Source organism: Homo sapiens, chromosome 8 (assembly GCF_000001405.40).
Source record: "Homo sapiens chromosome 8, GRCh38.p14 Primary Assembly".
In the NCBI taxonomy this organism is placed as follows: Eukaryota; Metazoa; Chordata; class Mammalia; order Primates; family Hominidae; genus Homo; species Homo sapiens.
Window position 1 is genome coordinate 17,166,297 of NC_000008.11, and position 26,429 is coordinate 17,192,725.

At 38.6% G+C, this 26,429-nt stretch overlaps 1 protein-coding gene across 9 annotated transcripts in view; it reads left to right on the forward strand.

Annotated features, from left to right (window-relative positions):
- Nucleotides 1-26,429, forward strand: part of ZDHHC2 (zDHHC palmitoyltransferase 2) — a 68,318-nt gene that overhangs the window by 9,815 nt on the left and 32,074 nt on the right. For 3 of the 9 annotated variants that reach the window (XM_011544544.4, XM_011544549.4, XM_011544546.4), the window contains exons 2-5: nt 18,493-18,519; nt 18,663-18,749; nt 20,035-20,129; nt 23,584-23,618. In XM_011544544.4, the coding sequence (XP_011542846.1) occupies nt 18,493-18,519; nt 18,663-18,749; nt 20,035-20,129; nt 23,584-23,618 (244 nt within the window). Of the gene's footprint in view, nt 1-15,699; nt 15,716-18,492; nt 18,520-18,662; nt 18,750-20,034; nt 20,130-23,583; nt 23,619-26,429 lie in introns of those variants that run through there. The other 6 variants (XM_011544545.4, NM_001362988.2, NM_016353.5 and 3 more) reach the window with 4 other exon arrangements.

Consider the following 26,429-nt stretch of genomic DNA (forward strand, 5'->3'; position numbering starts at 1 on the left):
TCACAGACAGATTTGAGTTGTGTAAGAAAGAAAGGAGTCAAAAATGATTCCATTGTTTTTGACTCATACAACCGAAAGGATGATCAGTTGAGATGCAGAAGGCATCAGTTAGGTGGCGTGGAGGGTTGCATTAGATCTGGAATGGGTGTGCTGTCATGAAATAGAGATGCTGAGTAAGCAGTTGCACACATGAAGTTGGCATTTGGGAGAGAGGTGTAGAATGTGGGAATAAATTCGGGAGTCTTCAGCATATAAGTGGATTTAAAGACTTGGCACTGGATACATTTGTTCTACCACATGTGAGAATGTAAATGAGCAGAGAAATGGACCAAAGATGACCAACATTGAGAGTTCAGGAGATGAGTAGGAACCAGCAAAGAAGACTGAGAAGGAGCGCCCAATGAAGGGGAGGAAAACTGAGAGAGTGTGGTGTCCTGAAACCTGGGGAGGAAAGGGTGTCAAGGAGGAGGGAGGAATCAACATTGCCACATGTACTGGCCCATCAAGTCTGGGAGGACTGAGAATTTAACAATGTGCACATTGAACCCTTGTTTTGAACTTATTACTGACTCTGATGACTTTCAATGTAATTTACAAGGTTACCAAAAAGAATCTCGTATACCAGTGTACGAGTTGCTGGGATATCTGAATTAATTCAATCCAAGTTAAAAAGGCTTTACCCTGTTAGGCAAGCTTAACTTTTCTTATTATCTGAAAATAATCTACAGAAAATTTCGTGAGCGGTAACCATGTCTGGTTTATGCACTCTTATAGCCCTGGTATCTAACACAGAGGTTAACACGTACTAACATTTGGGACATATGTTTCTTGGATGAATCAAAAGATGAGTGCCAGCTAAACTTGTTCAGTTTGAGCCCTCTGAGCAGGGTGGACATCTCAAGCAACAAAGAATGTTGAATCCTACATGAGGGGATCATCTATTTTGGCTTTTTACAGTTTGATCATCCAGATGTTTATAAACAAGCTGGTAATACTTTTTTTTTTAACTTTTTTTTTTTTTTTTTTTTTGAGACAGTCTCGCTCTGTCAGCCAGGCTGAAGTGCGATGGTGCAATATTGGCTCACTGCAACCTCTGCCTCCCGAGTTCAAGTAATTCTCCCGCCTCAGCCTCTCGAGTAGCTGGGATTACAGGCACCTGCCATCATGCCGGGCTAATTTTTCCATTTTTGTAGAGACGGGGTTTCCGCATGTTGGCCAGGCTGGTCTTGAACTCCTGACCTCAGGTGATTCGGCCTCCCAAAGTGCTGGGATTATAGGCGTGAGCCACCACGCCCGGCCACAAGCTGGTAATATTTTTATGGTTTCACATATAACAATAAAAAACCTTTTTTTCTTTCTGGACATTAAAATGCTATCTGTAATGAGAATTTAGATGATAAAGTTAATTGTAGAACTCACTTGAAAATTTAAAAGATAAATTATATGTGTAATAGAGTAAGTAATATCCTCATATATCTATAATAAAAATAATAAATAAGAACAATTTAGAATGTAAAATTTTTGCCCCAGTATACTTATAAAATAATCACAAAAAAATGAGTGAAATGCATTTGCAGGAAACACTCCAACAGCATTGCCTAGAGATAACTGTAGTCCGTTTTAGTAGGTTTCAGATAATTAACCCCCACCCGCCCTTAATGTGCTAAAATTGTTACCCTTTTTAGATTTAAAAAGACCTTCTAACATGTGTTTCAATCTTCTTTTTCCTTGTCCCAGCCTTCTTAGAGTATACTGAATATAATTTAGCTCTGATTTAAGGCAGTAAATCCGAGATAGATACATGTATCAAGCTACTCTCCAAGACCCTTGGAGTTTGAGGATTTTACATTCTCTTTCATCTATTTCCTATTGACTGAAAAAGGTCAAGGAAGACCGGAATTTTGGCTCGGCATTCTTTTGAATCTCAAGCACTGAGAATCTGGGGAAACTTGTGAATGAGCCGCTTAGCATGCGGAAATGCCTAGCTAGGCATACACAGCTCAACAAAGCTTTGTTTTTCTCTGCTTATCACTTCTGGGGTTACTTTTATGAGATGTTAAACAACAGTGAAAACTTTTAACCATGGAAGTGACCAGAGGTGAGAAAACTTTAGCTAATGTTGATTTTTAACTTAATTTGTGGTTTGAGAATAAGCCCTAGAGCAGATTTTTTTTTATTTTTTATTGTGGTAAAATATTGATAACATAAAAATTTTCCATTTTAACCATTTTTAAGTATACAGATTAGTGTCATTAAGTACATTCAAAATGCTGTGCGATCATCACTACTGTCCATTTTCCAACTTTGTCATCTTCCCAAACTGCTTCGCTGTGCAGTTTAACACTAACCCTCATTCTTCCCTCCCCCACCCTCTGGCAGCCACCATTCTACTTTCTGCCTCCGTGAGTCCAACTGTCCAGGTAGCTCCTATGAGTGGAATCATACAATATTTGTCCTTTTGAATCTAGTTTATTTCACTTATGTAATATCTTCAGAGTTCACCTGTGTTGTAGCATGTGTCAGAATTTCATTTTTTCAAAGTTCACCTGTGTTGTAGTATGTGTCAGAATTTCATTTTTTCAAAGGCTGAATAATATTTCGTGGCATGTATATATCAGATATTGTTTATCCATTAATGGGGGTTTGAGTTGTTTCTACCTTTTTGGCTATTCTGAATAATGCTGCTGTGAACAGTATACAGAAATACCTGTTTGAGTCCCTGCTTTAAATTCTTTTGGTAGATACCTAAGAGTGGAATTGGTCAGTCATATGGTAATTCTGTGTTTAATTTTTTGAGGACACCATACGGTTTTTCTGGAGCAGGTGATTTTTGATGCAGGTGTCACCCAGAGAAGCCTGTATATGCCCTTGTAAACATGTCCAAATTTGAAGGTCTCTAGAGGTATCCATGAGATGTATCAGTGTCACTGCAGCAATTTTTTTTTTTTTTTTTTTTACCATCTTGCCATTTCATGGTTCAGCAGAAAAGCTGATGGGCAGGGGATTGTGAAGAATCCCATGTTGCCCATATGGTGGCCTTCATTACTGGGTAGTGTGTTCCTTATGAGAGTGCTGGTCATCGGGCATGCCCAGGGCAGAAAACTCGAGGGCCTCTAGCTTACTGCATATAGGCAGGAATTCAACAACAGTTTTTGAGTAGCCAGAGTCCAGAGCACAGAAATGACAGATGGAAATTAAATCTTGAAAGAACATATTAGCAGATGGAAATGGTACGCAAACTGATAAAGAGGAGTGGGTGGGAAGGAGGGGAAGTATGCCGTGAATGCATCGTGAATACATGTGAGTGCATGGTGTCAATCATGAACTCGATTCTGATCCGCAGCACAGGGACTGAACATGATTTATAAATGAAGAGCAAGGTTTCTGTTTTGCCCAAAGATCCAGAGTAAGTGAAATGATTTTAGTAAGAGAAAGCATAAATCCATACATAAAATGAGGGGAGAGATACAGGCGGGAAACCTGAGATGCAGTTTACACATGGAGCAGAGGAAGAGACTCATTCCAAATATTGATGACTGGATTCTTCAATTCCTTGCATAATTTTTTTTTAGAACTTCTCACTTACATTAATGAATACATCTAGTATATAAACAGGTGGTACTTGTATAATATTACACTATTACAATATGTTGTGTCTTTAGGCAGTAGTCATGGAAATCTTTCAACTGTGGGTGGCCAGATAATGACAATGTCAGATTTATTTTGGTTGTGACTGAATACACATACTGTTTCAGCAATTGCTGTCAGAGAGATTGGGCTAGTGCTGTAGGTGAATGCAGTGTTGGGCGAGAGTATGATTTGCTGCAAGTAAGAAGAGAAAGGCATTGTATAATTCCAGCTGGGATCAAGAAAGATTGTGTATGTTTACTTTATGAATATATGACAGTGAAGTTACAGAAGAAAATAGTGCTTCTCAGTGACCCAATACTGAAGGGTGAGCTAGTGAATAGCTGGATACTCTCGAATGTTTTAATAGATATTGTGACCCAGTGCTATCGTGCAGCAATTACTGCTGGTGCTAGTGTTGGTTTAAATATTTGATTTCATCTCTTCCGGTGTGCCACTGTAAATTTTATTCCAATGAGCTCATAAACACAAATGTAGGAATTACATCCTTATATAGTTTCTTTCTCTGGAGAGTTGTAAAGTACTCATAAGTGTCAAATAATTTTATGAACCTAGAAATAATTGGATTAATTTTTAAATGTGTTACGTGTGCCTGTACTCTGGTCATATAGTACTCAACATATAGCTGCTAACCCTGCTAGATGGTTTTAGAACGTTGCCTGTTTCCTTGGAGATGCAGAAAAGATGCATTGGTTTTTCTCCTTAATAAATCAAACAGCTAATAACGTTTGGTCATGAAAAATAAGGAACTCTCAGCATTGTCCTTTATGATAATTCTGAGTATACCAGATAATAAGAAACTGATGTAAGGACATTAAAAAATACTCTACAAAAATTGTTTCAACTTGATTGTATATATTTTTTAAATGATGAAATAACCAATATACATGTGGGACGTTTTGCATGCTACCAATAAATAAATACATCCACACATATATAAGAAAGTTGAGTGTTACATTGGGCAAAATAATCATTGAGGCACTTCCAATTCTAAAATTTTGGTTCTGACTAATAAGGGGAGTATTTCAGGACATAAATCCCTAGTTGACATTCCCCTGGGTGGTAAATAGCCATTATGTGGAAAGCAGGCAGATCGTTGTTGAGGGTGTAGTATCCACCATAGACTTACATGGTTCTACTGAGTCAGTCATGGCCTCTGTGGTCTTTCCTCAAGAAGGGAATCTGGAATTGGAAAGGAGGGGGGTGGGGCTGAAACAATTCAGTGGTTGTAGGAACTTGGAGTTGAGTTGTAGCCATGTGTAGAAAAGGAAACACCCATACAACTCTATCTAAACAGGAGAAGTAAACTTACAGCTGCCCTCAAATCTGCACAACTTGCTGGCACTAGGAGCCTCTTCTATTTTAATTTGAGACAGGGATTATAGGATTCCATTGAGTAAGCTTTGAAATGAGGACACTAAGATCAGGGGGCCAGCCCTGAGATCAGATTTCCTTATTTATCTACATTGCTTAGTGCAGTCAGTGATTCAGAAATGGTCCTTCCCTTTGCCAAGATGAAAGTGGCAGTGAGTTTTTCATGGCCATCATTATGAGGTGACGTCTTTATTCCTTTTTCAGAACTGATAGATTGAAAGACCGACACATTCCTAATGATTTAAATACAAACATTCCGTGAATGTTTACCCAGCCTTCAATTAGATAAGTTAGATTTTACACCATCTGTTTCTGTCGAGTAGAGCTGCTTAGCTATTTAGAGCAATGATTTGGTCATCAAATTGCTACAGAAATGATGTTGAATTCCGCCACGTGTGACAACATGGATGAACCTGGAAGACATTGGGCTACATGAGAAAAAGCCAGTCACAGAAGGACAGATACTGCCTTCTTCTGCTTGTATGAGGTGTAATGCCCAACCTTGTTTTTACTAACCCTGTTTTTAGACTCTCCCTTTCCTTTAATCACCTAGCCTTGTTTGCACCTGAGTTGACTCTCCTTTGGCTAAGAGAGCCAGACAGACTCCATCTTGGTTCTTTCACTGGCAGCCCCTTCCTCAAGGACTTAACTTGTGCAAGCTGACTCCCAGCACATCCAAGAATGCAATTAACTGATCAGCTACTGTGGCGAACTATATCCGCAGTTCCCAGGAATTCGTCCGATTGATAAAGCCCAAAGCCCCGCGTCTATCACCTTGTTAATAGTCTTAAAGCCCCTGCACCTGGAACTGTTTACTTTCCTGTATCCATTTATCCTTTTAACTTTTTTGCCTACTTTACTTCTGTAAAATTGTTTTAACTAGACCCTGCCTCCCCTTTCTAAACCAAAGTATAAAAGAAAATCTAGCCCCTTTTTCAGGGCCGAGAGAACTGAGCGTTAGCTCTCTCTTGGCCGCCGGCTAAATATACGGACTTTTAATTCGTCTCAAAGTGTGGCGTTTTCTCTAACTCGCTCAAGCACAACAGAGGTATCTACAATAGTCAGCTAAAGGAAAGAGAGACCGTTTGGTGGTTGCCAGGGGCTGAAGGGAGAAGGAGATGGGGAGTGGGCTGCAGTTTAGTGGGTACAAAGTTTCAGGTACGTTAGATGAATGAGTTCTAGAGATCGGCTCTACATCCACGTGCCTATACTCAACCATACGGTATTATGCACTTACAGTTATTTCAGAGAGTAGATCTCAAGTCTTCTTAATGCAGTAAATTATAATAATAAAGAAATGCTGAGTAACACTTATAACCTGGAGACTTTTATAAACGTAAGGATTAAGAGCTACCAACCAGGAGAGATCCATATTCTGTCTCTCTTAATGTCAGTGTCTGCATGTGAGAAATGTGTTTTAGGAGTGTGCCTGTGTAGTACAAATTGGAGTAATTATCGTTCCTCCTTTCTTCTGCTTTGGATGGAGGTCAGGAAGCCTATCCCATCTCTTACTCTTTCTAGTATCACCATTTTACTGTTGCTCTAGGAACCCAGAGCCCGGTTCCTCCCCAAATTCTTGAAGTGGGATGGTTAGGAAAGTCCATATTCAGGTAGTGCCCTGAAATATGGCCAAATATTTGAATTTTTTGTATCCAAAGTTTGTAAAATTATGTTTGCAGAGGTTTTAAGTTGGTTGGTGGAGCAAGGGTGACCAGAAGAGGACATTTTAAACCCTACTTTCTAGAGTGACCCAGATCAGAAGTAACAGGGAGTGGCAAGAGTATCAAGCACAGACCAAGAACTGAGAGAAAGCAAGGAAGAGAACGGCTGCCCAGGACAAAGCAGCCCAGTGGCTGCGAGGCATCCGATGTCACAGATCCTGGCAGGCCACACAGAATCCTTGTATGAGTTTTGGGGCCAAACAGGCCTATATGTAGATCCCATCATGACTTGGATGACGTTAGAAGTTATACCTCTGTGAGACTGTCTTCTCAGCATTTGAAATGATAATAATACCAACCTCACAGATTGTTGTAAGGTTTAAATGAGATCAACATTCAAAGAATTGAGCACAAGGCCGGGTGCGGTGGCTCATGCCTGTCATCCCAGCACTTTGGGAGGCTGAGGTGGGAGAATCATTTGAGCCCAGGAGTTCAAGAACAGCCTGGACAACAAAGGGAGATGCTATCGCTACAAAAAAAAATAAAATTATAAATTAGGAGGGCATGGTGGCACGCATCTGTGGTCCCAGCTACTCAGGAGGCTGAGGCGGAAAGATTGATTAAATCTGGGTGGTCGAGGCAGCATGAGCCGTGATTGCACCACTGCATTCCAGCTTGAGAGACGGAAAAAGACCCTGTCTTAAAAAAAAAAAGAAAGAAAGAAAGAAAAAGAATTGAGCACAAATCCCTGGCATAGAGAGCATTCAACAAATGCTCCTGTAAAGCTGCAGTCTGATTTTGGAGGATGCTGCAAGCTATATTCTGTGCCTCCAAAATTCTTAGGTGAAAGTCCTGAACTCCAGGACTTCAGAATTTATTTGGAGAAAGGGTCTTTAAAGAAATAATTAAGTTAAAACGAAGTCACCAGAGTAATCCCTTATCCAACGTGACTTGCTGTCCTTAAAAGAAGAAATTTGGATACAGAGAGGCATCGAGGGAAAATGATGTGAACGTACAGAGAGTAGGTGGTCGCTGCAAGCAAAGGAGAGAGACCTAGGAAGAGACCAACCCTGCCGGCACCTCAATTTGTGCTCTATTCTTTTTCTTCTTCTTCTTCTTTTTTTTTTTTTAACAAGGTCTTGCTCTGTCTCCCAATCTGGAATACAGTGGCGTAATCACAGCTCGTGCTGCCTCGACCACCCAGATTTAATCAATCTTTCTGACTCAGCCTGCTGAGTAGCTGGGACCACAGGTGCATGCCACGATGCCCTGCTAATTTATAATTTAAAAAAAATTTTTTATCTCCATCTTCTAGAGTCCAGAAATGTGAGAACATAGATTTCTATTTAAGGCCCATAGTCTGTGATACTTTGTTATGACAGCTGTAGCAAATACAGGTATTATCACGAAGACTTGGAATGCGATGAACACCTGATCTCATAGCCCAGCAGGTAAGGGAGGAAAATCAGGGCAGCCTCGAGTCTACTGTGCTGGAAGGGAGATATGTTTGGATGTTGCACTCAGTAGGCTTCCCTTAACACACAGTCACTAGTTTTTGTTATATTGTTAATAGTGTTATGCAGAAGCTTTTGATGGCTGATCTAGAGGCCAAAGCACAGAAAGCAAATCTTTTGGGTCATAACCTACCCTTAAGAGACTTCCCATATCTTGGTTTATATGCTTTAACTTAGTATTGTTCATTTTTGTGTTTGATATTGTGTTATTCTTTTTTTTTTTTTTTTTTTTTTTGAGACATAGTCTGGCTTTGTTGCCCAGGCTGGAGTGCAGTGGCACTATCTCAGCTCACTGCAGCCTCCGCCTCCTGGGCTCAAGGGATCCTCCCACCTCAGCCTCCTGACTAGCTGGCATCACAGGTGTGCGCCACCACACCCAGCTAATTGTGGGGTTTTTTTTGTTTGTTTGTTTTAGTAGAGACAGAGTTTTACCATGTTGCCAAGGCTGGTCTCAAACTCCTGGGCTCAAGCGATCCAGCTGCCTTAGCTTCCCAAAGTGCTGGGATTACAGATGTGAGCCACCGCACCCAGTCACATTGTGCTATTCTTCAGGAAAAGGTTGCCAGTAATTTCTGGGCCATTTTCCATCGTTCTTTGATAATTTCTAGCATAGTTTAGCTCAGTATAGCTGTTTAGAGATGTGTTCTGAGGTAGAGGCTGGGGAAATCATCAGACTCCATAGGGCGTTGGCATAGGACCAATGCATGCCAAGCCCTGTTAGAATCTGGACAGGGCGTTGTGGGTTGCAGGTGTGGGTGGGGTTGACAGGAAAGGAGCTCTGGGAGACGTAGGGCAAAAGTTTAAAAATTTACTGGTTTAGTTTTTTTCTCATTCTACTAATTCACCCACATTGTAATTTATTTGCATTTTTCTGCTTATTCACGCTTAAAAGGCTTTCCAGCAGTTTATTCCTAACAACTTGGCATTTCACGCTGCAGAAAATTTTAGCGTTACTACATGCTAATTATTCACTATGCACTTCTTCCCCTAGATTGTTAATAAACTGCTAGCACTAAACTTTAGGAAACTCCTACTCCTAACATGTCACAGTTTGGTGATGAATTTATCCTCCATATTTGATGAACAGACCTTAATAATGCGCCAAATTCTATTCTAGGTGCTTTTACCTTCTAGTTTAATTCTCAAAAGAGCTCGGTGAGATAAACATTGAGATAATGTTCAGAGAATCTAAATAACTTGTTCAACGTAAAACATCACACAGGATTCAAACCTCAGTGAGGGTCATGGAAAAGACACAAGTAAATGAAAATACAGGTTGTGTGAGATGCTAAGAGACGAATAATGTATTGCCATAGTGTCTGACTAGACAGGAAAAGCTGGTATTTAAACTGCACCCTGAAGGAAGAGAAAGAAGGAGCCAAGCGTGGAGTCAGGTGTGGAGCTTTTCAGACTGGGCAAAGACGCTAAGGTTTGGTGTGTTTTTGAAACAGGAGCTCAGTGTGGCTGCAGCTTAGTGAGCAAAGGGACTAGTGACCAGAAGTGGTCTTGGAGGACAGAGAGGAAGAGCCAGATCATGCTTGACCACTGAGGCTGAAGTGAGGAGATTGGACTTTATTTTACTGTAAATTGAGTGCAGAGCCTTGGGAGGGTTCTTAGTGAGATGATATCACTGAATTGCATTTTAAATGAGATCATGGTTTTCTTATTGCAAAATGAATTTTCAGGGAATTGTGTGGGGATCCATTGAGGTAGTCGATTGCCTTGCCCCGTGTTTGTGGTTAGTAGACTGTTAGGAATATCAGGACTGGCTTGTATGTTAACTGAGAAAGTACAAACTGAAAACCCTGTGTTTGGAATTCAAGTTTTGCACCATCGAAGACTTATTGCTAACCTTTGCTTCTATTTTGAAGCTACTTATCTGTCCTTGACAAAGCAGTTCCTGCTTATTTACTGATCAGTTTGTTGTTAGAATGACTTTTGCCTTAGGTCTTCAAAAGTCAAGATTTTTTCACCGAGAATACATCACGGTAGGATTTAAGATAATTTTATAGCCAGAGAAACCTTCAAGATAAAGTGCAAATTTTAGTTTAAACAGTAAAATTAAAGCGCCGCTCAGCTGAGTGCCGTGATCAAGATCACACATATTGGGAGGATTGGGCTGGAGTCCAGGTCTCCTACCACCCAGTTCACTGCCAGTGCAGAGGATCAAGGGAGGGTACAATGTTAGCTTGGTTAAGACACAAGAAAGCCCAGAGTGACAGAAGCATCATGCACAAGAGGAAAGACGTGTGAGGTGAGTTTGGAGAGAAAGGCAGGCGTTTTGAGTTATCAATAAAATCACAATGACATATAAGGACAACAAAGAAAAAAAAAGAAACAGTTTGACTTAAAGTATAATAAAAAATATAATATGTAAAAATATATAAGTAGATAGGTTATAAAGAAAATAAATTCAAAAATGTATTAGGAAGAAAAGGGTACCATTGCAATTAAACTGAAAATGTTAACGTGAATAACATATTTTTCTTGCATGTCATTAAATAAGGTCTGGAAGGGGTGTCACTTTTGACCTCTAATACACTAAAAATGAACCAGAGATTTTTGGAAAGTAGCTAAAAGGACAAAGGATTTGGCTTCAAGGGGTTCCCCTGGCCAATTTTGTCAAAGAATTCTCTATGAATTTGACAGACTTTTTCCAAAAGAAGAGCATAATTAATTCTGTTAGAGTAATTTGAGTACAGAAAATTAGCTTAGGGAGGGTGTTGGTGACCTTGACACGGGTGATTGCAGTGGAATGCTGGGGAATTAGACCAATTGGAGTTGGATGAGGAGGTAAAAGGAGGTTGGGGGTAGAGAGAGTGATTTTGGATGATTGTTAAATTTTCCTGTGAAAAGGCCAGAAAGTGGGATGGCAGCTAGAGACATGAAGTCAGGGGACAGACTTTGTTGGGACAGGAGATGTTAAAGCATATTGTAAAGATATTAAAGCATAAAGTATTTTTGTCATAATCTTTTGAATGTGAGCTACTTCTGTGAATTAACTGAAAATGTTTTCATAACTACATCCTTGTTTTTTCAGTTAGTTTTTACTTCTAACTAAAATGATATCATAAATGCTAAGCTTCAGCACAGAGGTAGAGTCTTATTTACCATTTTGTTCTCAACAGTGTAAGCACAGTATAGTCAATTAATGTTTCTCAATAAATGAGTTAAAGATAAACAGAAAAAATGTAGAGCTTGGCTATAAAGTTATCCTTCAGATTCATCCATTAGGACCAAGTCTCTGTTTTGGGGTGTTTGTGTGTGTGTGTGTGTGTGTGTTTGTGTGTGTGGGGGTGGGGGGCGGTATTCTTCATTATCAGATGTCTGAGGCTAGGCTGGAAATTGCATAGTGGTTTTATATTGAAAAGTTAGTGTGTATGAGCAATAAAGGTAAATTATTCCTCCAAAGGAGAGAGATTGAATTTGAAGACAAGAAAAAGAAAATTCAGATTAAGAAAATAAATGTTAAAATCACAGCAATATACATTTGCAATAAAATACCCCAAAATCACATTGTTTTAGAAACACTTTACTGTTCTTTGCTAAGTCAAAAGGGGGAGTTCATTTTTTGTCTATTATGAAGGTGTAGTAGCACACAAGTAGCCATGTAAGTATCTGAAAGCTTGAATTTTGGATATATTTATGACTAAAAGTTCAACTAGATTTAAGTTACCATCAGTTTACTAGGCTGCTGTATCTCATTAGATACCATTTAGGACAGTAACACTTTAATAATAATCACCAAAGCCAATTTTTAAATAATCAATTGGTAAAAAATGTACGAGTGGAATAACCGTTGAGATGATCTCCTGCTTTTAATCAAGGTTGAATTTAAATCATTCTAGACTAAATTAATATATATAAATCATTCTAGACTATATTAATATATAGTATCTATATATACACATACACACACATCCTATTAAATCTTTTTCTGTGGAGAACCCTGACTAATACATAGGGCTGGAATACTTTCTTCATAAAAGGCTAAACAGTAAATATTTTAGGCTTTGCAGTCCATACTTTCCCTGTCTCAGCTACCTAACTCTGTCATTGTAGCACATAAGTAGCCATGTAAGTGAATGGATGCATACATGTTTCAATAAAACTTTATTTATAGAAACAGGCATCTAGCTGTGTTTGGACCAAGGGTTCTAGGATTAAATGATTGCTTGGTAGTTCAGTCAAAAGAGATAAGGGAGGTATACATTTGAAAGGATGTTTCATTCAAGCCAGGTTGGATTAAGGAGCAGTTTGTCATCCTTTTCTATATTATGGGTTATTACTTTGACAGTCTCACTCTTTAACTTCAATTTTACCTGTTTTATTTTTACACAAGGATTTCTTAAAAAACAATTAATGTTATAACAAAAAACTGTCACTCTTATCAGTCTTACCAATTCTAAACTGAGGACTGATTAGTTCAGCCTTTTTATATGTTGTCCTACTCTGTTTCTTTCTCTCTTTTTTTTGAGACAGGGTCACGCTCTGTTGCCCAGGCTTGAATGCAGTAGCAGGATCACAGCTCACTGCAGCCTCGACCTCCTGTGCTCAAGTGATCTTCCCACCTCAGCCTCCCGAGTAGCTGGAACCATGGGTGGGCACCACTATGCCTGGCTAATTTTTAAATTTTTTTGTAGAGATGATGTTTCACTGTGTTGCCCGGGCCAATCTCAAACTCCTGGCCTCAAAACTATGCTCTCACCTTGGCCTCCCAAAGTGCTGGGATTAGAGGTTTGAGCCACTGTGCCTGGTTGTCCTGTCTTTCTTACGGGAATGATCAGTGGCGGTGGAGGGGGTGAGCGTAAAGCGCAGCCAGATAATACAACTGGTGACCCAATCTACAAGCTTTGTAGCATCGATGATGGTTCTAGATTTTAAGATGAAGTTCTTTTTTTGTTTTCTTTATTTCTTCTTCTTTTTGTTTTAAGAAACAGGGTCTCACTCTATCGCACAGGCTGGAGTACAGTGATGTGATCATAGCTTAGTGCAGCCTTGAACTACTGGGCTCAATCAGTTCTCCTGCCCCCAGTCTCCCAAGTAGCTGGGACCACAGGCAGTGCCACCACACCCAGCTAAAAAAAAAAGTTTATTTGTAGAGACACAGTCTCAATGTGTTGTCCAGGCTGATCTCCAACTCTTGGCCTTAAGTGATCCTCCCACTTTGGCCTCCCGAAGTGCTGGCATTTCATGCGTGGGCCGCCCAGCCCAAAATGTGATTCCTGAAGGCCATAATTTTACTTTTGGCAAACAGGAACATTCTTGGTAACTATAGTAGTAATTTACCTTTTTCACTTTCTCTCTTCCTATATACCGTCAGGGCCAAGAAAGTGCTGCAGTTCCCACAATTAATCACAGAGGAACTTGAAGTTCTGGAGGTATATTGGAAGATTAGAAATTGCTAAAGCAAAATATTATCATTGTAGGGCATGGACCAAAAAGAAATTAGGCTAATCCAAGATAAAATGAGGCAAATAAGTGTTTGAAATTAAAATTAAAATTGTGATTCACAGTGTTCCTATTGTGTGTATTTAGATGGTATGAATGGTGCCATCCACCAGATGTAGGATTGGTAAATATTTTAGTGTAATAATAGCAATGCTTTTAATTCCCAGGAATAAACTGCACCTAACTTCTTTGGGGTGATTATAAGATTTAGGTCTTTATTTTTTTTTAAAGTAATTGTTTTTATTCATTAAGTTAAACAGTGCCTATCCAAAATAGATTCTTTCACATTTAAGTTCTCAAAAGGACTAACTGGCACATCAAGATCGAAGTTTTAACATCTCATCATTACTCTGTGTTAAGAATGAAGACCACTTTTTTGGTTTAAACAAGTTTCTGAAATGACACATCCGTTTAAAAAGGCAATTGACTTATAAGATAATTCAGATTTACATTATTTTTCACCTTTTATTTTCACTCGCCAAGTCTATTTTTGTTCAACATTTTGCATTTATTTCTTTCAGGAGCCTGTACAAATATTACTTTTCTCTTTGTAATTTGTCTTCCTTGTTTAGCCCCCTTTCCTATACGTTATACATTACAGTTAATATTATCAAGATGAAAGATGATATATTATAATTGTACATTCATGGGGCTTACTCTACACAAGGCACTGTGTTAAGTACATTGTTTTATTGTCCCTTTGAATTCTCGCTACAGCCCTAATGCTACTGCTGCAGCAATCACCCTCATTTTGTAGTGGAATAAGTGGGATAGCTTATGTAAGCCAGCAAGTGGCAGAGGCAGGATTGGACCTTGCCTTCTTTATCCCCAGCCATTGCTCTTTGGTGCTATTATGCTTAGTAATAATCTCTTTTCCATTTTGACAAATTCAACTATAAAAAAGTACAATACTAAGGAAGAACCAAAACCAAGCTGGGGGTGGAGGGAACCCTGTGAACTTATAGACCCTGTCTGTCTTCAAAGTTGCTTGAAGCCCAGTTGAAGCCAGTATCTCCCTCAGCTTTTTCCTTTTTAAAGGAACAGGAACCATTTTGTCTTCTCCCTCTCTCCTCTCTTTAGAGAAGTGTTTTCTTCACCTCACAGAAGAGATTACTTTCGCTTTTTTCAACTATCAGTTGAGTGCTATGGTGTGCTAAGCTAACATGGTAATAGAAATAACTTTTCTCTTGAGTTTTTCATGCCCACAAAAGAAAAATGAATACTTCTCATATGTCCGCTTTGATATACCAGTTTTATGTGATTCAAATTAGTTGTCATGGTCTGTTTGTCTAAGTCAGTCTCTTACTCAGTAAACATTAATGGGGCAGATGCTCTATGCCAGTTCTTGTGCTTTAATGAGGAATTAATTTTAATATGATCCAGCAGAGCTGGAAGTTGTAACGTTTTTGTTACAGGCAGGAAATGTTTAAATTGAAAATAAAAGAATTTCTAAGGTAGAATTAATGTGCTATTCGTCGTGACTTTGAGAATAAAGCTCATTTGCTTTAGTAAAAACTGAGTAAACCTCAGTTTTCTGTTGACAAAAATTGAAATAACTATTAATTTATCTCAATAACTGGTTTAAAGGAAATGAGATAAAGAAGGCTATACAACACTTGAAATTTCTCTATGGTAAAAATTGAAGAATAGGTATCAGCATCATTGTTAAATCAAACAAATTGAAATTCTGTCTGTGAAGTAAGAAAATTAAATAATCCTGGATTAAAACTCAAAATCCACATTAAAACCAATAGTTATTTTTAGAAGACCTGTCCCAATTATGTTCAGTATTGCTATTTAGTTTTTGTATTGTTATAAATAATCAAATTATATTTGATTACCATCTATATTGTTTCAAAAATGAGTCTCTATTTTTCATATGTTATCTTTATATACATAAATATTAGAAAAGTGTTTGAGGCTAAATTTGAGCAATCTTTTCTTGAACAGTTACTTTTGAACAAAAATATTTGCATTTGACAATAACTTTGTATTTTATGTGTTTTTACTCTGTGAGAAAGGAAACTTTGAACTTGACAACTCTGCCATTAAACTGAAAATTACAAGGTAAATCACTGATTTACTAATTAAGTAACCATGGTTGAAAGAACATTCATTTCCTGAGTATCACAAAGCAAAACCTTGCATAGTCCATATATCTGTTAATGAAATAAGTTAATTTGCAAACTTTGATAATGTTACTTAATCAGTGGCAAGTGATAAAAATGTTGCTAGTACTTATTAAATCATTTAAAATAGCTATATGCAGTTTTATTTGCAATATATATATAACAGATATGAGATTTCTGTCCAGAATATATAAAAGGCTCTCAGTAACTAAGTAGGCCAATAGGAAAATAATCATTCACATAGAAGAGAAAGGAAATCCCAATCATAGTGTTTTAAAAATAATGCCAAACTGCACTAATAATAAGGGAAATGAATGCTAAAATAATGATTTTTATTTAGGCCTATGATGTCGACAAAAATTAAACAGAGTTACGTTTACAGGAAATTGAACCGGCTCATAATCTTGGCGAAAGTGTAATTGGATACAGCCTTTTGAACTGATCCCTTTCATTCTACAAATGTTACACAATTATTTACTATAAAGATGAATTTATGTGTAAGTTGTGTACTTTTAAAAAAATAGAACATCTGTGGATTTTGAATTACATTTAGGGAAAAGCAAACTGTGAATGGCAATAATAATAATAATAATAATAGCTTTAAAAACAAAGTCTTTGAATGCATATCAGGCTTATAGAGTAGTGGTCCAGGTCAAAAAGATTAGCAACTCGTACCAACTACACCTTTTTTTTTGTTGTTGTTTTTGAGACAGAGTCTCACTCTGTTGCCCAGGCTGGAGCGCAGTGGCGTGATGTTGGCTCACTGCAACCTCTGCCTCCCGGGTTCAAGCGATTCTCCTGCCTCAGCCTCCAAGTAGCTGGGATTACAGGCGCGTGTCACCACACCTGATTAATTTTCTGTATTTTTAGTAGAGACGGGGTTTTGCCATGTTGGCCAGGCTGGTCTTGAACTCTTGACCTCAGGTGATCCACCCACCTTGGCCTCCCAAAATGTTGGGATTACAGGTGTGAGCCACCGTGCCCAGCCCCTAACTATACCTTTTTCAAAAATGTCACTTTGTCTTAGTTTTCAGTTCTCTCCACTCGAGTCAGTGGAGTAGCAAACACATTTGTATGCAAGCACCAGCACCTCTGGAATGGTCAGTAAGGGTCATTCATATATAAATGCACAAATGGAGTCAAATTGCTTTTCCTTTCCTTAGATTGGCTCCACTGAAGGATTGGAAATTTTGATCCAGAAAAGAGTTGTCAATTTTGGAGCACTTTTGAAGACAGGGTGTAGTCAGTGTCTAGAAAGAAATGCATACCTGTGGCGGTAGGTTCAGATATTAAAAAACAGGCTTGCCTCAAGCCTCTCCTGTGCCCTCAGATGAGCTGCTTCAGGGATTCTATGAGAAAGCAAACTCTGACTAGCCTCTGACTTACAAGCGGACTTGGAGAACAGGCCATTTGTAAATCGAAGGTCATCCAGGCCTGCCTGTCTCATTCTGGAGATCAGAAATGTTAAAAGGAGTGGAGAACCTAGGAAGCATTTACAGATGCCACATCTACGTTAGTAAGAGATCTGGAAACCATATATTAGTTGGTGTAAACTAGAACATTTAAGGGGGACACTATAACATCAAATATGTGAAGATCTGTCATTTAGATCTTCTGTTTGTTGCTATGGTTTGGAAGCCTCAGTATCACAGGTAAAAGTCACAAAGCAGCCAATTTCAACACCCTGGAAGGATGAATTTTCTTATTCTTAGGGCAATCCAACAGTGGAACGGGCTGCCCTCCAAGAAACTACGGGCTTCTGCTAGCTCTAGAAATGCCTGAACTTATATTTGGTAGCTCTCTTGGGCAGGAGATTGGTTGGACTGAGCAATCTTAAAAATTTCTCACACTACCCTCTGGTTCCAGGCTTCAGAAGGCAGCGCATTTCATTCCAGCACCAAGGCCTGAGGTCCCGTGCCCTTTTGAAAAGCTGAATAAGGACAAAAATATACAAAGTCAGACTTGCTACAGCTGAGATAGGGCAAAACTTCCAAAGACTCTAGTACAAAGAGAGAGACCAAATGGGAAAACAAATAGACAATACAAAAGGCGTACATATGTCTTGATTACTAAATACAACTTCTTGCCGCAGCTTGCTTTAGTGCTTGTGGCCCCTGTCCTCATCTATAATACCTGCTAGCTTGGAATATTTACAACAGCCGCTGAGGAGTGGCAGTTTCCCAGCACTGCCTGGCCTTTCGTTGTGCAACAGGGAGCAAGTAAAGTCACTGTGCATAAGCATTTGTACTTTTAGAAATTAGGGGGAAAAAAAGTGTGTGCTGTGGACACATTTTATTCTTTGTGGAAAGCTCACCAGGTGGTTGCCAGTTTATCAAGAGCAATAAATGCCTGCGGAAATGTAATGACCTGGAGAGCATTGCTTTTATCTGAACTCTATAGTTGGAAGGAAAACCAGTCAACCAAATGATACAGAAATAAGACCCGCAAGGGGCACACTTGACAAGTTTTGTTCCGCAGGACAGGAGCCAGGGCTGAAGTGCGCAATGGAGGCATGGCTGACTGCAGCCTCCAGCCGTTTCCTGCACCCTCTCCACACTGTGCTCACCTCTCCTCCAAATAAAGTTGAATAAATATTTAGAGAATGTTGGTTTGAAGGGAAGCCACATTATTAAGCTACTTAAATGCCTTATGTCTGTGTCAAGCCCCGTTTGCCATAAGCTTCATGTAACCTATTACCTTTTTTTCTCTTTACAGTGTCCATGGAAAACACTGGCGAACAAGGTAAGCTAGATTATATTAATGTTATAGATTTTTTAAATAGTTTGAAAAAAAATTGTATTCACTTAGATTTGGTTGGGATTAATAAATTGTTGTTTGAGAATGTGGAGACAAGCTAGGGTTAAAGATGTCTCATTTCTCTTAAGTTTGCAGATTGAATTCTGTCAGACCCTTGGCAAAGAATTCTATCCTGAAATGGCTGTCATTGTGCCAGAGATTCTTAAGGCTTTGAGGTATAGGGATATCAACAATTTCCTTTCCTAATTCAGATTATGAACTTATAACTGAGTCACCTACATAATTTATGAAAAATATTGTTGGCTTTAGTCATCTCACACCGATTTAAGTGCCTTATTGAATAATTCAAATTTTTAATGATTCTATGAGTATCCTCATTCTTTAGAAAAATTTAAAATTGCTATTAAAGTTTTAAAATGCCAAATATGCTATATTTAAATTAGCATATTTTATTCAATGATATCTTACAGAATTAAATTGTGTATTAATGTATTACCCAGAAGGAAGCATTATCACCATATAGAAAATTAATATTTAAAATTTGGGCCGGGCACAGTGGCTCATGCCTGTAATCTCAGCACCTTGGGAGGCCAAAGCGGGCAGATCATTTGAGGTCAGAAGTTCAAGACCAGCCTGGCCAGCATGGTGAAACCCTGTCTCTACTTAAAAAAAAAAAGAAAAATACTAACATTAGCCAGGTGAGGTGGGGCATGCCTGTAATCCCAGCCACTCAGGAGGCTGAGGTAGGAGGATTGCTTGAGCCCCAGGGGGCGGAGGTGGCAGTGAGCCACTGCACTCCAGCCTGGGCGACAGAGTGAGACCCTGTCTCAAAAAAAAGGAAAGAAAAGAAAAGAAAATTTTGGATAGTATTTCAAGACTTTATAACACCACCCAGAGTGTGTTTATATGCATTACTGAAAAAAGTATTCAGAACACTTTTTTAAAACAATTGTCCCATGTAATAAATAAGACACTTGAACTCCCACTGAAGGAAATCTCTTTGTCCAGATGTTCTCCATTTAAATGTGTTATCATTACACCAGCTTTGACTAGAGCCAAGCAAATAAGCAAACAGCTTCTCAAATAGGAACTGCCTTTGTTATCTGTGTCAGTAAAGCAAAGTTCTTAAAGCCTGAGTGTTTTAACACTTGTTTTTAATGCTGTGTTTGCTGTTTAAATTTGGAGGCGTAACTGCCTCATTTTTACAATTTAGAAAAGGTCCTTGTTAGTGATTTTGCCAATAGATGGTCTGTCTACAGATGGGAGGCTTTTATTCATGGGCATAGATCTCATTATGCATTTAGGAATTTTTGTAAAAAACTCTTGGCTTTGGAAATAAATTCGTTGAGTTGTGTTTATTCTAGTATAAAGTAAAGGAACTTTCATAATGTATTATAATTGGTAATTTGGTTATTTTAAAACAAGCAGATCGGTTGTGACTGTCATAATTTTAGTATGTATTTGCATATTATAATGATAATTATGTTTTTCTCATTTTAGTTGTGTGCCTGATGGCCTATCATCTACTTTTTGCAATGTTTGTCTGGTCATACTGGAAAACTATCTTTACATTACCAATGAATCCTTCAAAAGAAGTAAGTTAAAATATTAACGAAATTATTCTAATAATAGAAATCAATAATACTGATGTATTATTGAAGAACGAATTTTATTTTAATGTTGCAAACTTATTGAGTTTAGTGACTTTTTAGATTAAAAAAATTAGTATTTCTGTTAATAAATACTTGAATTTTCACCTGGAAATATTAGTGTTTTCACCAGATAAGCACTGCATTTTCTGTATTGAATCTGTTATGAATTCCATTTCCACTTTAGAGTCAGACATCAGGATGGATGGATAGGTAGACAAAGATAGATAATAAAATAGAGCTAGAAGGTAGACATAATTCTATGATAATTATCACATTAAAGGTGTATTAGTTGGTTATCAGCCACCAGAAACAACAACAACAAAATAATGGCTTAGCTAATCTTCTCTGCATTCAAAAAGTCTGTAGCTAGTCCACAGCTTCCAGGTGCCCACACTCCTTCTATCTTGTTTCTCTGCCACGTGTAGCCTCCATTTCCAAGGTCCCCTCTTGGTCTAAGGGGGACTCTGCGGTTCCAACCATCACATCTACATTGTAGCCAGCAGACCAAAGAAAGTAGGAAAGAGAAGTAAATGTCCTCCTCTTCAAGAACACTTTCTAGACATTGCTGACGTCATTTCCACTTACATTTAGAAGTTGGTTATATGGCCACATCTACCCACAAGGAAGGGGGGAGTGTAGCCTTTCTTCTCGATGACCATGTTAAACATGAGAGAAGAAGAGAAATATGGTTACTGAGAGACAACTAGCAATCTCTGCTTCAGAGGGCTTTAAGTAGAGTGATGGATCAAATTTGCATGTTGAAAAGATCATTCTGTTTGTTTCTGGATCATGCATCCTGGTTAAACGTTCTTGGAGCAAAGAATTGTGTCTCACTCATTTTTGTATCCTTGGCGTATAGCCCAGTACATTGTTGAATAAAAATATACTTTGCTAACTCTAATAACAGTGTAGTTTTAGTAAGCCAAGTTTAAAAAAAAAAAGCATCACTGTAGACTGTTTACTGAAGTAATCAGTTTGAAATGCAACTTTGGTCAAAAAAGCCAATAAATATGCTATTTGGCTTGGGAGAGGATGGTAAAAACCACAGATGTTTGCGCAGAATTAATGGTATGCCTGGCTTAGAATGCCTATCTATTGCCTGTTTTTCTTCTATTCTCCACTTCTTTTTCTATCCCAGTCTTTTTTTTTCCTTCCTCCTACCATATTTGCTTCTTTTCCATCATCTCTCTTACCCTCATCCTGTCCCTAGTAGTAGGTTTGAAGAAAAATACTGACTTCTATCATAGGTAGTCTCATCCACTCTGGTAGTTTACATACAACCTCTGTTTTGATAACTCCCAAATCTGTTTTGAGTTCTAAACTCCCCCTTAAATTTCAAACTTATGTATCCCCCTGCCAAGCATAGCTTCTTGATAATTCCACCAACATCTCAAATACAAAACATCAAAAACAGACGTCATCACCTTCTCCTTCCCCAGACTGTGAGTCATCTGTTTCTTATGTCAGTTAATGGGCAGTTTATCACTGCTCTAATTCTGGGTCTTCATCATCTCCCTTGTCTGAGATATTGTATTCTTCTCCTGGTAATTTGGTTATTTTAAAACAAGCAGATCATTTGTGAATACCATAATTTTAGTCTGTACTTGCATATTATAATGATAATTATGTTTCTCTCATTTTAGTTGTGTGCCTAATGGCCTATCATCTACTTTTTGCAATGTTTGTCTGGTCATACTGGAAAACCATCTTAAGGTTTTCTGTTTACAGCCTGGCCTACCTTTCCTTCCCAGAACCCCACAAAACTTCATCCAATACCCTGAAGCTGGAGTGGTCCTCCTAAAAACCAATGTAACGCCTTCCCTCTACTGCTTGTATCTATTGTGATTCCATATATCCCACAGGGGAAAGCTCAGTCTCTTCTGCCTAGCAATAGCAGCTCTTGTCTCAATTTCTGACTTTATACTTTATACTCTAGTAGTTCTTAACTACACATAGTTTCCTGTATACAACATGGCATTATTTCCTTTCCAAAATATTCTTACCCCTTTCTCATGGAAATAATATATTTATTTTCCATTCATACTGGCAGCTCCTTCTTGGCCTCCTTTGCTGGTTCCTCTTCAGCTCCTAGACTGCCAAAGCATTGGAATGTTCCAGAGCTTAATCCCTGGACTTCTCTTCTTATATACCTGCATTTATTCCCTCGTGGATTTCATTGAGTTCTGTGACTTTATGTGTCACCCCAGTGCCGCAGCTCTCAGATTAATATATTAGCCTGGTGCTTGCTAATAAACGCCTGACACATTTCCAGCTCCCTATTTGACATCTAATAGAAATTTCAGGTTCAACACAACTGAAAACAAACTTCTGATTTCTCATTTAATTCCCCAGTTCTTCTAGTCCTAAAGTTTTCTTATGTCAGTAATGACAGTTTCACTCTTCTGTTCAGGCCAGAAACATTGGTGTCATCCTTGGCTACTCTTTTTCTCTCGGACGCCACATCTAGTCAATCAGAAAATTCTATACCCTCACCCTCAGAGTATGGCCACAATGTGAACTCATGTGCCGCACTGCTCCCTGCTCCCACCCCGGTCCAAGCCACCATCCTCTCTCATTTATAGATTTGCAGTAGCCTCTTAACAGGTTTCTTTTTGTTGGGTTTTTTTTTTTGGTGTTTTGTTATGTTTTTTTTTTTTTTTTTTTGGCCTCCTCTTGTGTATTTTCAACACAGTAGCCAAAGTGATCCTTTCAAAAGACAAGGCAAATCTCTCACCTTTTTGATGTCTTTATACAAATGGTACCTTATCATTGAGGCTGTCTGTGATGACTCAACATAGAATAGCAACCCCACTACCCTCGGCTTTCCCTGCACCTTACCTTCCTGGATTTTTCTCCATAACATTTACCATCATGGCAACACACTGCATATTTATTTGTTGAATACTTTTGAAAATACACCATCGTTAGAATGTAGGTTCCATAAGGGCGTGAAATGTATCTTTGTTCACTGCTTCATCACCAGTGCCTAAAGCAGTGTCTGACCTATAGAAGGTACTCAAGAGATACTTTTTAAGTGACTAAAAGTAGGGAAGAAGTTATTCATACACATGCAGGTTTATTTTTATGGCCTTGGCAGGAAGTTGAAGTGACTTCTAACTTCTCTCTAAAATTATATATGACATCATTGGCTAACAGTGAAGACCTAAGTGGGTTAATTAAGGGTTGGGAGAGTAGAGAAGGTTTGAAATAGTGGATTGGACAGAGTGGCAAAAGGATATGAAACACACGGAAGAAAGAACACAGCATTGAAGGAGCAGTCAAATCGATGACAGTGACATTATAACGGTATCAGGCTTCATTGTGTGATTTTTCTACAAAAGACGTACCTTAGTCATACAACTGTTTGAGATAGATACTATTTTTTACTATTTTACAGATGGAGCCACTGGCTTTGAACATGAAACAATTAAGGTATCTAGTGCTACTGTGTGGGAGAGCTAAGGTTCAACCAAAAGTCCTTTCAACCCTTAAGGACACTTTCTTTTCACTACACCATGCTCTAGTATGGAGAGCAAGCACAATGGGTGGGAGTGCCCAGGACTTCAATTGAAGCATGGGGGAAAAATAGCAAAAATTTTTTTACGTATTATTCATTTAATATTTTTATTTTTTAAAGTTTTGTATATGAGGTACATAAGCTATTAGCTGATAAAATATATACCAATACACTTGAACCTGGGAGGCGGAGGTTGCAGTGAGCCGAGATCGCACCACTGCACTCCAGCCTGGGCGACAGATCGACACTCCGTCTCAAAAAAAAAAAAGAAAAGAAAAGAATATATACCAATAAATACTCATCTGTTAGCAGTGTGATCTCACGTAATTTTTTACGGTTAGGGGAACATGATCAAAAGAGTTTGGAGACCACTGTTAGGAAGAAAGAGCCCTTGTCTGGTGGTTAAGAACCTTAGAATATTCCCTTTATAAAACGCAAGGTCTTGGGCTATTCTTTTAATTGATCAGCTGTTAGAGACCTCTCGCTTGTAAAATGAGGATCCTGAACTGAAAACATGTGAATTAAAATTTGCCCTTTTCATAGCAAGATTGTTAAAGTGATAATAGTTTTTCATTGGTAAGATTTTCTCAATATAAAAGTAATACAACCGCACTAAATTATATTTTGAAAATGAAGACTAGGCAAAAAGAAAAAAGAGAAAAATCCGTTACACCAATTCAAGCACTTTACATTCTGAATTTCTTTGTAGTTAAAAAAAACTTGTGAGTACCTAATAGATATATATATTTATGGGGTACCTGAGGTATTTTGATACAGGCATGCAATGTGTAATAATCACATCAGCGTAAATTGGGTATCAGTTACCACAAGCATTTGTATTTTGTGTTACAAAAAATCCTATTATACTCTTAGTTATTTTAAAATGTACAATTAAATTATTATTGATTGTAGCCGCCCTATTGTGCTGTCAAATACTAGGTCTTATTCATTCTTTTTTTTTTTTTTTTTTTTTTTTTTTTGAGATGGAGTTTCGCTCTGTCACCCAGGCTGGAGTGCAATGGCATAATCTTGGCTCACTGCAACCTCTGCCTTCTGGTTTCAAGGGATTCTCCTGCCTCAGCCTCCCAAGTAGCTGGGATTACAAGTGCCTGCCACCACGCCCGGCTATTTTTTGTGGTTTTAGTAGAGATGAAGTTTCACCATGTTGGCCAGGCTGGTCTCAAACTCCTGACCTCGTGATCCGCCCACCTCAGCCTCCCAAACTGCTGGGATTACAGGCATGAGCCATGGCACCTGGCCCAAATTTTTGTATTTTTAATAGAGATGGGGTTTCGCCATGTTGGCCAGGCTGGTATCAAACTCCTGACCTCAAGTGATCCACTCGCCTTGGCCTCCCAAAGTGCTGGGATTACAGGCATAAGCCACTGCGCCCAGCCTTATTCATTCTTTCTAACTTTTTTGGTTTTGTTACCGTTAACTTTCCCCACTTATGTCCAAGTTTCCTACTACCCTTCCCAGCCTCTGGTTGCCATCCTTTTATTCTCTATCTCTATGAGTTTAGTTGTTTTAATTTTTAGCTCCCACAAGTAAGTGAGAGCATGCAAAGTTTGTCTTTCTCTGCCTTGCTTATTTTACTTAACATAATGACCTCGAGTTCCATTCATGTTGTTGCAAATGATGGGATCTCATTCTTTGTTTTGTGGCTGAATATATTCCATTGTGTAAGTAAACACCACATTTTCATTATCCATTCATCCATTGATGGACACTGAGTTTCCTTTCAAATCTTGGCTATTGTGAGTAGTGCTGCAATAAACATGGGAGTGCAGATTATCTCTTTAACATACTTGTTTCCTTTCTTTTGGGTATATACTCACAGTAGAATTGCTGGGTCATATGGTAGCTCTATTTTTAGTTTTTTGAGAAACCCATCGTAGTAGTACTAATTTACATTCTCACCAACAGTATACAAGGGTTCCCTTTTCTCCACCATCTCACCAGCATTTGTTATTGCCTTTATTTTACTTTATTGGTATTTTTTGAGGTAAGGTCTTGCTCTGTTGGCCAGGCTGGTGTGCAGTGCTGCAATCACAGCTCACTGCAGCTTTGACTTCCTGGGTTCGAGCAATAGTCCCACCTCAGCCCCCTAAGTAGCTGTGACTACAGGCATGCATCACCACGCCTATCTAATTTTTTTTAATTTTTTGTAGAGATGAGATTTCACTATGTTGCCTAGGCTGGCCTCAGACTCCTGGGCTCGAATGGTCCTCCCGCTTTGGCCTCCCAAAGTGCTGGGATTATAAGCATGAGCCACTGCACCTGCCCTTTGCCTATCTTTAGGATAAAAGCTATTTGAACTGGGGTACGATGATAACTCATTGTAGTTTTGATTTGCATTTCTCTGATGACCATGGATGTTGAGCACATCTTCATATACCTGTTTGCCCTTTGTGTGTCGTCTTTTGAGAAATGTCTATTCAGATCTTTTGCTCATTTTTAAATTGGATTATTAGATTTTTTTCCTATAGAGTTGTTCGAGCTCCTTATACATTCTGGATATTAATCCTTTATCAAATGGGGAGTTGCCAAATACTTTCTCCCATTCTGTGGGTTGTGTCTTCTCTTGGTTGATTGTTTCCTTTGCTGTGCAAAAGCCTTTTAACTTGATGTGATCCCATTTGTCCACTTTTGCTTTGGTTGCCTGTGCTTGTGAGGTATGATTCAAGAAATCCTTGCCTACACCAATGCTTTGGAGAGTTTCCCCA